A 12,586-nucleotide genomic window follows, 5' to 3' on the forward strand; every position below is an offset into this window, starting at 1 on the left:
AGCCTGATTGGGAATGAGATAACCATGATAACAGACACGGACAGTGATGGAAAGCATGGTCCCCAGAGACACCCCTTCATTCAGACTCCACAATTACCAGCACACACATGCCAAGCCACTCGGCTCCAGAGCTGATAAGACAGCCGGTTCCTTCACCTGTGATGGAGGAAATGTTTTGTATTTTCTGCTTTAGCTTTAATTTGGAGCTAAACAAAGACCCAGCAGGTGGGAGAAGGAGTGCTGCCTGGAGAGCCTTCTCCTAGCCTCCTAAACACACGTTCCTCAAACCGAAGAAAAAGCTGGGTGTGGGCTGCAAAGCCCGGAGAAGCCTCTGTGCCCACTCCACAGGGAGCAAAACACCCAGCCATGAGGGCTGGGGCCCCTGTAGCAACCCAGGTTCTATGCTTGGTGCTTCCTCCCCACAACCCTGGGAGGTGGTACTATGATTATCTCGATTTTATGGATGAGGAAACTGAGGCTTACACAAGTTATGTGACTTGCAAAATAACAGGACAGAACCAAATTTGAAGCTACCCCTATCTGAGCCCAGAGCTCTATGCTAGCAGGGCCTGCAGGACCCCTGGGGGAGAAAAAGGGCCCCCAGGACCTGCCGGCATGGCAAAGGGGTGAGATTCAAAGCTGGCCACAGACTATCCATTGCATAGTGAGGATCGGATGTGAAAAGCACTTAGCACAGAGCCTGGCACTGGGCAAATGCTCAGTAGCTGTCATTACTCAGAAGACTGCAAGCACCACAAGGACAGAGACCTCATCTGCTTTGCTCACCTGGAGAGCACCCAATGTACTGGGAAGGAGGTGCTCCACTAACCGCTAGGACCCATATTCCTGCCCCAAGCCAGGGGCGTTTTCCTCTTCCAACCTCTTGGTTAGGTCAGTGAGAAACTCGAGTGGATCAGGTAAGAAGGAGCAAGGCCAAAAGGACAAGGAAAAGGCAGCGCAAGACAGAGGCAACCCACCATCCCAAAGGCCAGATCCTGCTGGATGCAGCAAAACCCCAGGTCACCCACTCTCACCTGAGCAGGGGCATTGAGGTGGCACACACACACATACACATCCGGGCAGCCACCAGCATCCAGGTCATCCTGCTCCCCAGTCAACCCCTGGAGGTCACACAAGGCTTCATTGCTTACCATTGTATCTCAGAGCCTGGCACAAGTATGTGCTCCATAAGCATTTGTTACAGGACATTGGGGCCCAAAGAGCTGTGTGCCAGACATCAGCCCAGGAGCTTCACTCTTCATGCCAGTCTCACAAAGTGAAAGCATTATTCTGGCATCGGCAGGTGAAAACTGAGGCTCGGATAGGTGAAGCAGTGTGTCCAGCGTAACACAGCCAGGAGGTGGCAGTGGTGAATCTGGCCCCAAAGCCTGCGCTCTTTACACTGTGCAAGTCACCTTCTAGAAGGAGGAGGAAGCAGGGGAAGAAAGGCGCTGATCTGAAAGCAGTTAGTCTGCCCCTCAGCAGCCTCTCGGAGCTCTGCTCCTACTGAGCCCAGGAAGCCAGGCAGAAACCAAGCACAATGGCTCCTGGAGGCAATGGCTGTCTTTAAGTTTGGCCCAGAGCAAAGCCAAGCTCTCCACTGAGATTCTGATCCCACCCAGCCAGGGGCTTACTAGGCACTGGCCAGACCTTGGGCACCCAGGAAGGGAGGCTTTATTCCCCCACCCACCTCGAAGAGCTTGCGTCCTTCAGTTCGGCCCCCTGGTCCATGCCACAGGGTCTAGGCCCAGCCGGACAGCAGCCTCCTGGGTCCCCACACCCCACCACACCATCTTGGGCATGGATGCTGGCAGAGGGCCAAGAGTGGAGGGCGCCTTCTGGAGGAAGGGAACGTGGCTCCACCCCCAAGCGTTCTCTTATTACGTGCTCTGGACCACAGCCCTGTTAGGAAGGGCCCCTTCCCCACTTCACTGTTAACAAACTGAGCTCAGAGAGGTTAAATAACTTGCCTGAAGATCGCCCAGCTGGCCAACGACACGCAAACCTAGGGACACAAAACGCAAAGCCCTAACCAAGGAACACTGCCTCTCAGCGCACCCTAATTCCAACCCCGATTCTGCCAGACTTCTGCGTTGTCCACACAACTAAAGGTTTGCTCCTTTACCATGGAGGCTTGGCGACAGAGAGCCCAGGAGCCAGAAGCCCTGAGCCCGCCCCCGCAGGAAGCTCCCTGCGCGGCGTTCCCAGGCCGGCATCGCCCGCCCTCCCTCCCCCGAGAGCATAGGCTGCGTTTGTGGGAAACCAGGGCTCAGCGCGCTGGGAGGGAGTCAATTTATTCTGGAGAAAACATCTTTGTTCTGCGAGTGAAGGGGAGCCATTTCCAACAATTTAATGCTCTGTTCGCGGGCCCGGGTGCTGGGGTTGCAGCACGAGGCTTGTTCTTCGAGGCAGAGCCGCACATAATGAGGCTTCTCACTACTGCTCCCCGTCATCGTGCCAAAAACCAGAACGGTTATTTATCCATTAATCTGACATTACACCCCCTGCATTTTATCTGCTTAAATAAATTTGGTGGTTAGAGTGTGTGCCTGGCGGAGAAGCTCCCGCATTCAATTCCCTTCGCGCCACGGCGCGCAACGTTGCCATTGTAAACCGGCCTTGGAGTGGCGGGGCCGCGGTGGGCCAGCTGGGAAATGAGACGGCAGCGGGGAGGATCCCGCCTCTCCCAGCTCGTCAGAATCCAGGCCCAACGGGACGGTTCCCCAGACACTGACTTCGGGGTTCCAGCGTGCAGCACCAAGTCACGTGGGCGCCGTGGCCTTTCACCTGCAGAACAAGCCGCCCCCTTCGCCAGCACCTACAGGCAGCGAGAACAGAGGCCAAACCCCGTCCTAGACCCCACTGCCTGGGCTGGAATCCTGCTGTGCCACTCACTAGTTGTGGGACCTTGAGATGTCACCTCACCTCTGATGCCTGTTTCCCCACCTCCCTCCCCCTCGGGTTGTGAGAATTGAGTCACTATTTATAAAGTGCTTAGAACAGTGCCTGGTACATATCAAGTGCTCAATAAGAGTTGGTTTTAAAATATTAATTTTTAAAATCTAGGACAATTGTTTATGTTTGGAAGTAGGCTTTGGAGATGGGCTAGACCACTGGGTTTCCCCACCTCAACCCACTTCACTAAGTTAAGAAAAGTGGGTTTCATGGAATATTTCATTTGAACAAAGAGTGCCACTGCTTGAAAATATTTGGCTCACATTTTGCAGAGGAGCAAACAGAAAGCCAGAGAGGGGAAGGGACTTGTCCAGGAGCCTCTGCAAGTTCACAGCAGAGCTGGGAGCCGAATCCAGGCTGCCCACCTGCCGGGTCAGGTGTTTTATTGGCAGCATGAGCTCCTGGGATGTTCATTCACCTCATTTTCATTGCCAGTCACGCTGACCCACAGAAGGTACTGCTGGGCACCCTCCTCTCCCATCCCAGCAGCTGCAGTACCACCCCACGCTGGAGCTAAGAGCCCAGCCCCACCAACAGGTGAGACCCATGACCCTCAGACTTCAACACGCCCCACTCTGGAGCCTGGCCAGGCCTTTTCATTTGTCCTTCATTTGTTCTTTCCTATCATCCTCTGGTTCTCTACAACATTTCCTTGGCCCGGAAACTTGCTGGAACTTCCTGCCTGTCCTCCCTACATCTGTCTGCCCCTTGTACCCTGTACCCCTGCCCCATAGGCTGGAGACTACCCCAGAGGGAGGAATCCCACCACCACTCAGTCCCTTGGATGTGGGCCCCCCTTGGAAGCAGTTTTGCCCAGCTCAGATCCAGCCTGAGCTCACCACACTCTCTAGGAGCCCATTCCTGAACACCTCCCAGAGGCTGGCCACTCCACCTGGAGAGCAAGGTTTCCACAATCTTCTCTGGCTCAGGAGGGCCTGGCCTGATGCCCCACGCTGACTGTGGAGGTAGGTTGGGAGCGAAGTGGTGAGTCTGTAACCAGAGAGAAGAGCCATGTCCCATGCAGGAGCCGCTCTGCCCAGGCAGCTGCAGGCCCAGCCCCTGCCTCCTTCAGAGCAACAGAGAGGCAGGCATGCGGGCAGACAGACGCCCAACACAGAGACCTCCCACACGCTCGTCTGTGTCACCGCCGCCCCTTCCTGGTTGGCCCTGCAGACGAGGAAGCCCTCCAACCTGCAGCCAAATTCACTCCTTGCTGACAAGAGGCTCCTAGAGGAGAAGGGCTACTCCCCGGCCCCCAGGAAACTCTCTGAACATAGCTATCTGCCATCAAGGCCTGGATCAGCCAAGCAGGAGCTGCACTTGCCCAGCCTTTTCCTTCCTAGCCACACTTAAGCAAGACAAGTGGCATGGGCACGGAGAGGCTCCCCTGGCCACACACTGGGCAGGGACAGACCTGGGCTACTCATCCTTTCTGAGCAGCTAGCCTGGCCCAGGCCTGCAGACTGAGTGGCCCACCCTGCCCGGCCCCCCATAGGCATGAGCTCCCATACCCCCACCTCAGGCATGGTTCCATTATAACAAATTATCCTCGTTCACCTCCCACTCCACTTCTCTGACGGCTCCCTCTCTTGACTCTTGTCCTGCCTTTGTCCCATCCTTGCCCCCGACCGATGGCTGCTATTGCAAAAGTGATCCGAGTTCTGAATTTCAGCAGCATTTGATCATTTCAACTGGACCCAGCCCTGATAACCTGTGCCAGGCACTGTGCCAAGTGCTTTAAAATCTAGGACTTAATTAGGTATGACCCTTCTATTTTACAGATGAGGACACTGAGGCTTGCCCACAGGCATAGAGCTATTAAGTGGCCCAGCGTGGATTTGAATCCAGATGTGTCTGAATCCAGAGCCCCAGGTCTTACCACCAGCCCTGCCACGTGGCTGGCACACCCACAGATGTGTTCTCACCCCATGAGTAAAATCAGACACTCATTCTTGCTCTTGCAGCCATAGAGGTTGGAGGGAAGAGGGCTGAGCCCCTCAGGGGATGGTTTCTGCAAGTTCTGTTCAGGGATCTGTCTTCCTTCAGTGCCACTAACACTCACCTGTCATTGCAGGCAAGAGGAAATCAACATTTTACAGCAATAAAAGGCTGCTCCTGGTTAGGCATCAAACGAATCAATCTTCTCTGACAGTTAATTTTCATTTTGCAACTTTCCCCAGCAACAACAGCAAGTAATGACCCTGAGGATCTGCAAAGTCGCTGATCAGCAGCCCAGCCTCCCATACTCCTGACTCATCCACTGCCCTGGCTCAGCCCCTTGCCACCCATGCCCACCATTCACCTCCCCCTTCAGCCCTCTGAGATCCAGGGGTCTCTCTGCCCAGTGACCCCTCTCAGAGGCTCAGGTCTAAACTTCCCCGTGGAGCGCTGAGACAAGAAACAGACACACCAGAGCTCACAGTTGAAGCCACCCTGCTGGGGTAGTCACTGAGGACCCCCTGGCCAACAGCACCATTCCATCCTCGCTGCTCCCACCTCCCACCTCATCAGTGATCCTCCCCCTCCTGATAACCCATCATCACTGCCTCCCTAACACACCTATGACCCCAGCTATGACTCCAGGACCTGCCACCAACCCCCAATGCACAGCACCAGTGACGCCATCAGAAAGCTCCTCCAGCAAATCCCTCTAATTCCTGCAAACCTCCTCCCAGAGCATTCACACACGGCATCCCTGCCTACCCCCAAATTCCATCAATAACCCCAAAACTACCACATCTGACCCCCAAATACACCATGCCTTCCCAGCACTTCTACACAGCTGAGGAGCCCCCAGGCTCTGCACCTGTCCCCAGCCCTGCCCTAATCTGGTTCGAGGCTTCCTGATCTTTTACACACCACAGTCAGATGAGAGGATTCTTTCCCAGGGGAGGGCCCTCCTGCCCAACTCCCATGATCCCAGGTCAGTGATGAGTGTCAGCCCAGCTCAGAGCCGCCAGGCCCAATTCTCCAGAACCTACTCTGTGGCCTGGCAAGAGAGATAAGAAAAGGCCCACTGGGCCCCTGGACTGTGGCTCCATGGTGGCCTCTACACCAATTGCAGCAGCTTTCACAGGCTTAGGAAACCCTCTTGGTCCCCTGAACCCTGGGATTCACAGGCAGCATGGAGCTTAAGTCCCCAGAGTTTTCTCATGAGGCCTACTACTTCCTGCCGGGCTATAGGATTGGGTAGTGGGACTCCCCCTACCCCTCCACTTCCCCAAAATGCCCAAGACCAGGCAAACACCAAGCCAAGGAGGACTCTTCCCCTATCCCCACAGAGCCTCTGTCCCCAAGAACAAGAGTAAATACCATTTAGTGAGGCTCTCTGTGTGCCTAGCATGGTGCCAGCCAGGCTGACCACTCAGCACAGGGCCACGTCAGCATCACGTCACGGCATGGATTCCCACCCCGGGAAAGTGCTTGGCACACAGCAGACAGCCACAAACATGTATTAAATAAATGAATAGATGGAATGCCTTCCAACTGTTACCTCATGAAATATCTCAGCCCCTGCAAGCTGGATATTATCATCCCAACTTCAATTTGAGGAAACAGGCTTCAAAAGGGCAGCTTGCAGCTGAAAGTCATGTAGCCATCAATGGGCAGAGCCACATTCAAACCCAAATCTGTGCAAACTCAGAGGCTCTGCTGTCTCTGATCCACATACGGTCCCATTCAACAAGGACAACAGCGGTGATGGCAGCTCAACCCAGCCCCGCCCTGGGGCTGCTGAGTGCCCATCTCTTCCTGACACCAAACTGCAGCTCCAGGAAGTACAGGCGGCAGCCCCTACATCTCCCTGGCAACCCAGGAGCTTTTGTTCAGGAAGAATGAAGCTGATTCATCCCCCCAGGGTGAACAGCAGGGTCTAGACCTGTGAATGCAGCCTAGAGCCACCCAGGCTGGATAGATGCATGCAGGGACGGGGCCCTTGCTGGAGTTTCTGGGCAGGCAGTTCCGAGTGCCCACCACACCCACTAGCCAGAACTCCACGGCCATGGCTCAGCTGAAAGACAACAAAAGGGACATGACATCCCACCCACAATGAAGAAAGCCTTACTCCTGGCCCTGCCCAGCTCTCCAGCCTCCTCCTCTGCCCACACACTTCCATAGGTCCCCAGAGCTCCAGAGACACAGGCCACTAGCCTGCACCCAGCACTGTGCTCTCTCATCCCTGAACCTTTTCACACTTTGTCCCTCAAACTGCAGAGGCCCTTCCATTCTTGCACCTCACTAGGGATTTCTTAGCTTCAAACTGGGGGTTCAGACACTGTTGCCTCTGCAGTTCTCCCTGTGAAGAATGTGTCACTGCTCTGCGCACCCACAGCCCGGTGCTCGCCTGTGTCATGCACAGTCATCTTACCCGGAGGCAAACCTTTCCTGGGTTATAACTGTCCCTTCCCTAGACAGTAAGCTTCTGGAGGGGCCCCTCTCCACCAAGCAGCCCCAGTTTCAGCACAGAAAGACACACACGGGGCATCTGAAAGTCACCACTGATGGGAGCTTTCAGGGTATCCATAGTTAACTGCTACCCGGTATGCTCCCCAACTCCTCAGAGCTAGGCCTGCCAGGGACCTGCTCTGGCCAATAAAATGGAAGCCGTGTGATAAGCATTTCTTCCCGGCAGATGTTTCCAAGCTGGTTCCAGCTTCCCGGTTCCTCTCTACCGGTATCACCAACAGCATTTGGATACTGGCTGCTTGTCAGCCTGTTTCCTGGAGGAAGAGGATGGCAGGGAGCATAGCCCAGGACCGTCCGTGATGGACATGCAGCCTGAGCAAGGAATCAGTCACTGAAGTGTGGGGGTTGTTTGTTACCACGGGGGCTAGCCCATTTGAACCCATGCAAGGCGTGAGAGAACCATGCTTCCTGCAGCATCCAGGCCAGCACAAGGGTCAGGGACTCGAATAGGAGGCCACCAACACCATTTGCTGGCTTTCTACATAGGCTTAGTGCCAGATATGTCCCTATGATAACCACATGATGAAATCTGAAAAAGTAAGAGGCACGTGAAGCATGTTAGAAAGATTGGGGTTTGGAGCCGGGCGCAGTGGCTCACACCTATAATCCCAGCACTCTGGGATGCCAAGGCGGGCTGATCACTTAAGGTCAGGAGTTTGAGACTAGCCTGGTCAACATGGTGAAACCCCATCTCTACTAAAAATACAAAAATGAGCTGGGTGTGGTGGCACATGCCTGTAGTCCCAGCTACTTGGGAGGCTGAGGCAGGAGGCTTGCTTGACCTGTGAGGCGGAGGTTGCAGTGAGCTGAGATCACGCCACTGCACTCCAGCCCGGGTGACAGAGTGAGACTCTGTCTCAAAAAAAAATGAAAAGAAAGATTGGGGTTTGGAAAGCAGACTTGGGTTCAAATCCAAGCTAAGTCACGTCTGTGACCTTGGACAAACCCCTTCACCTCTGTGAACCTTGGTTTCCTTATCCTAAAGTAGGTGCAACAAAACCTACCTCCCAGTGCATTCTTAAAATAACAGGAGCACAGACATCACATAAAAAGTGTCTAGAACATTGAGAATTTTCCATTGCTCAGGGTGGCTAACCTTTGATTAGCTCCAAGATGCCTGGAGGGGTGGGGGCAGAATGAAATGGCCTGAGTCCCAAGCCCTGGACTGGGCAGGCTCCAGCACGGCCAGGTAACTGAGGATAGGCTGTATCTAAGATGACACTCACTCACACAGGGCACACAGAGGCCCCAGCTCCTGCTGTGTGGCCTCACTGAGGCCAATACTCCAAGTTATGCACCCAGCTCCCTTGCCCCTTCACCCACACACATTCTGAGAGACACCATTTCTGGCTCTGCACACTGGCTGACATTGACCCCTGCTAATTAGGAGTTCTCTTGGCCTCGGCCTCTGCACACTGGCTGACATTGACCCCTGGCTAATTAGGAGTTCTCTTGGCCTCGGCCTCTTGCCTCTCCTGGTTCTCAGTCCTTCCTCTCATCCTCCCTGGTCACAGCTGGCCCTTTCCTCAGGCCCCATCTAGGGCTGCTTTCACTCCCCTTTAGTCTCAATTCCCAAGCTGGACTTCTGAGGCAGATTGGCAGCAACTTCTTGGAGGTAGGGGCACATCCTGTTTGCTTTTTTGCTTTTTGCTGTCCCTCTAAGCCCTCTAAGATATGGGACCCACATTTATTGACCATCGCCTAGGTGTACTCCATGGAAACCCTGAAAGATGCCTGTAATACAAGGTCCCATTTCACTGTACTACGGGCACTAAGACCCCCTGTAGGGAAGGGGTCTACAGGGCTCACACATGAGTCTTCTGACCCAAGCTCCTCTCTACAGCCTCCCTCACAGAATTAAACATCCCCTTCCCTTAATACTAAACAAATCTATCCTTATTTGTAGGTCTTCCTGGAACAGCGTTTATAATTGCATTCAATGAAAACATTTTAAATGAATCTAATTCTTAATAGTTTGGAAACATGGAACATCTGCTTTGTCTGAGCAGCCGAATCTTCTGATTAAAACAATGATAAACTCTTTCCCTCACCCCTTCAGACTGTGGCCTCCTTGAGGGCAGGGGCTATGCATTGTTCCATTCAGTACCCACTGCAGCCTGGCACAGAACAGTGATCAGTAGCAGATTAAATCATTAAATCACTATCCACCTCACTCCAACAATTGCCTCCTCTCTACCACCCCCACCCTTCATTCTCTCCATTCCCTCCATCATTAAATGAGCTCAGATACAACTATTTAAAAAATAATAATAATTGGTCCAGGCGCAGTGGCTCATGCCTGTAATCCCAGCATTTTGGGAGACCAAGGCGGGTGGATCACTTGAGGTCAGCAGTTCGAAACCACCCTGGCCAACATGGTGCAGCCCTGTCTCTAGCAAAAACACAAAAATTAGCCAGGTGTGGTGGTGCGTGCCTGTAATCCCAGCTACTCAGGAGGCTGACGTAGGAGAACTACTTGAACCCAGGAGGCAGAGGTTGCAGTGAGCCGAGATTGTGCCACTGCACTCCAGCCTGGGCAATAGAGCGAGACTCCGTCTCAAAAAATAATAATAATAATAAAAACAATTTGTACTTCTGCTTCTAACCCAGCTAAAGTAAGAGGAATCTAGTTTGCCAATCAGAATTTATTCATGGAATAACCAAATAAAAAAATGAGCAAAATATATGGAGCAATGGTTTTTCAAGACATTGGAGAGAAGGCAATGAAGGACAGTGATTCCAGAGGCTAAGATCAAACAAGGCAAGCCCTACAATTTCTTCAGCTGTCTTTCTTCCCAAGGTGACACAGGAGGCAGAGTCTAGCAGATGTCCTGAGTTGCAGATTTGGAGCTCAGAGTCTAGAGACAAAGGCTGCCAGAGTTCACAGGACAGAGTACCAGAGAAGAGTGATGGGCACAGAGAAAGACACCTGGCGAGCTTTCAGAAACTCCCACTCAAGTGTTCAGCAGAGTGTGAGCAAACGCCCCAAAGCCAGGAGAAGAATCATCCAAAAGATTTGAAGGAATAGTATCTGGTACTCTCAAGAACAGTGACTGTTTTCAAACCCTCATGATTCACAGGACATTGGGTAGAGTATGTAGAAAGGTCCTGCCTCAGTAGTAGTAGCTCTGTCCTGCCTAGCCAATAGTAAAAACAAGACCCAAAAGGATCAGACTATTTCCACATAACTGCATTCCAGAATAAAGCCCAAGGATATTTCTACGAATGCAAAAATATCCATCACAATGTCTGGAATCCAATCAAAACTGATTAGGTATGTAGAGAAGCAGGAAAAAAATTTACCCATGTGAAGAAAAAAATCAATCGATCAAAATCAAACCACAACTGAAACAGATGTTGGAATTAGAAGACAAAGATATTAAAACAGTCATTATAACTACATGCCGTATGTTCAAACGTTAAGTAGAGACATGGAAGATTTAAAATAAGATGCAAATCAAGCTTCTAGAGATGAAAAGTACAATATGTGAGATTTAAAAAATAAACTGAATTGGATTAATGTCAAATTTGATACAGCAGGAAAAAATTAGCAAATTTAAATACATGGAAAAAGAAACTATCCAAAGTTAAATACAGACAGAAAAATAATCAAAAAAGAGAAAAGAAGAAAGAAAGTAATACTGGTGAGCAATGGGACAACTTCAAGTGGTCTAACATATGTGTAACTGGAGTCCCAGAGGGGAGGAGAGTGGGAGGAAACAGAAAAAATATTTATAGAAATAATTCATGAAAAATTTCAAATTTGACAAAAACCATAAATGCACAGATGCAAAAATTTTAAGAAATCATAAGCACAAGAAACATGAAGAAAAATACATCAAGACACATTATAATCAAAATGCTCAAAATCAAGATAAAGAGAAAATCTTAAAGGCAGCCAGAGAAATATATTATGTTCAGAGGAACAAGGATAAGGATGACAGTAAATTTCTTATCAGAAACAATACAAATAGAAGACAATGGAGAAACATCTTTAGTATTGAAAGAGAGAAAAACTATCAACCTAGATTTTTATACCATGAAAAAAAATCTTTCAAAAATGATGGTGGAGGAGAACGGCAGAGTAGACAGCTCCAAGTTCTAATCTTCCTACAGAAACATTCAAAAAATGAACAAATAAAAAAAGCAGAAACTGCCAGAGCCAACTTTGTCAAAACTCTGGAAAACAGTCAAAGGTTTACAGCAACCAAGAGAACACTTAGTCAAGAAAAAGGCAACTTTAGGAAGGTATTGTGGCATTTTTACTTGCCCATGCCCCATCCCTCCCCCAGCATGATGTTATGTTGAAGTGGTACCATCTTGAAGTGCCATCCCATGTTCCCAATATAAGACCTTCATCTCTAGTTCTAGAGGGAGCAGAGCAGATATTATTCACAAATTATTGTGACTATCTGTTATAGGCTGTCTGAGGGATACCTGAAGGATTGATACAAGACACTCTTCTATGTTCCCCCTAACTTGGAACTTAGACCAAAAAGTGACAGGCATTACTCACAACATTGCAAAGCAAACTAACAACTCAAAGACACTTGGGACAAAAGACACAGTTGAGACATACAATAGACTGCCTAAGACCTGTGAGGAATAGCTTGGAACATTCTTTGGGAAAGTGGTACACTCAAAAGTACCTATTTATACTGAGGAATTTAGAAAGCTACATTAGGCATAGGGCAAGATGCATGCTAAGAAAAGAAATAAGAAGACCCTAAGCTTTCTCTAGGCACACTAATCTCTTTTTGTTTGTTTGTTTGTTTGTTTTTGTTTTTTATTATTATTATACTTTAAGTTTTAGGGTACATGTGCACAATGTGCAGGTTAGCTACATATGTATACATGTGACATGCTGGTGTGCTACACCCATTAACTCAACATTTAGCATTAGGTATATCTCCTAATGCTATCCCTCCCCACTCCCCCCACCCCACAACAGTCCCCAGAGTGTGATGTTCCCCTTCCTCTGTCCATGTGTTCTCATTGTTCAATTCCCACCTATGAGTGAGAACATGCGGTGTTTGGTTTTTTGCCCTTGCGATAGTTTACTGAGAATGATGATTTCCAATTTCATCCATGTCCCTACAAAGGACATGAACTCATCATTTTTTATGGCTGCATAGTATTCCATGGTGTATATGTGCCACATTTTCTT

At 50.4% G+C, this 12,586-nt stretch overlaps 1 protein-coding gene and 1 non-coding gene across 2 annotated transcripts in view, besides 5 other annotated features; both read right to left on the reverse strand.

The window, feature by feature from the left end:
- GRID1 (glutamate ionotropic receptor delta type subunit 1) overlaps window positions 1–12,586 on the reverse strand; it is a 767,244-nt gene that overhangs the window by 661,160 nt on the left and 93,498 nt on the right. The gene's annotated exons all lie outside the window — the stretch shown is intronic.
- Window positions 1,251–2,234: an enhancer, noted in NCBI's record as "H3K27ac-H3K4me1 hESC enhancer chr10:88021719-88022702 (GRCh37/hg19 assembly coordinates)". NCBI's record gives its function as "activates a minimal SCP1, AML or CMV promoter by ChIP-STARR-seq in primed H9 embryonic stem cells {active_cell/tissue: H9 hESC(primed)}" and the evidence as "EXISTENCE:reporter gene assay evidence [ECO:0000049][PMID:30033119]".
- Window positions 2,235–3,218: an enhancer, noted in NCBI's record as "H3K27ac-H3K4me1 hESC enhancer chr10:88022703-88023686 (GRCh37/hg19 assembly coordinates)". NCBI's record gives its function as "activates a minimal SCP1, AML or CMV promoter by ChIP-STARR-seq in primed H9 embryonic stem cells {active_cell/tissue: H9 hESC(primed)}" and the evidence as "EXISTENCE:reporter gene assay evidence [ECO:0000049][PMID:30033119]".
- Window positions 3,596–4,096: an enhancer, noted in NCBI's record as "H3K4me1 hESC enhancer chr10:88024064-88024564 (GRCh37/hg19 assembly coordinates)". NCBI's record gives its function as "activates a minimal SCP1, AML or CMV promoter by ChIP-STARR-seq in naive H9 embryonic stem cells {active_cell/tissue: H9 hESC(naive)}" and the evidence as "EXISTENCE:reporter gene assay evidence [ECO:0000049][PMID:30033119]".
- MIR346 (microRNA 346) lies at window positions 3,983–4,077 on the reverse strand. Its single transcript, NR_029907.1, has one exon. It is a non-coding gene; the product is annotated as a microRNA 346 (primary transcript).
- Window positions 9,438–9,607: an enhancer, noted in NCBI's record as "experimental_17795 CRE fragment used in MPRA reporter constructs". NCBI's record gives its function as "activates a minimal promoter by MPRAs in K562 erythroleukemia cells, with activity observed for the introgressed 10:88029991 or rs2607857 variant allele {active_cell/tissue: K562}" and the evidence as "EXISTENCE:reporter gene assay evidence [ECO:0000049][PMID:34662402]".
- Window position 9,523: a transcriptional cis regulatory region, noted in NCBI's record as "Neanderthal adaptively introgressed variant 10:88029991 (GRCh37/hg19 assembly coordinates) or rs2607857 in the experimental_17795 CRE". NCBI's record gives its function as "modulates activity of the experimental_17795 enhancer by MPRAs in K562 erythroleukemia cells {active_cell/tissue: K562}" and the evidence as "EXISTENCE:reporter gene assay evidence [ECO:0000049][PMID:34662402]".

Source organism: Homo sapiens, chromosome 10 (genome assembly GCF_000001405.40).
Source record: "Homo sapiens chromosome 10, GRCh38.p14 Primary Assembly".
NCBI classification, from domain to species: Eukaryota; Metazoa; Chordata; class Mammalia; order Primates; family Hominidae; genus Homo; species Homo sapiens.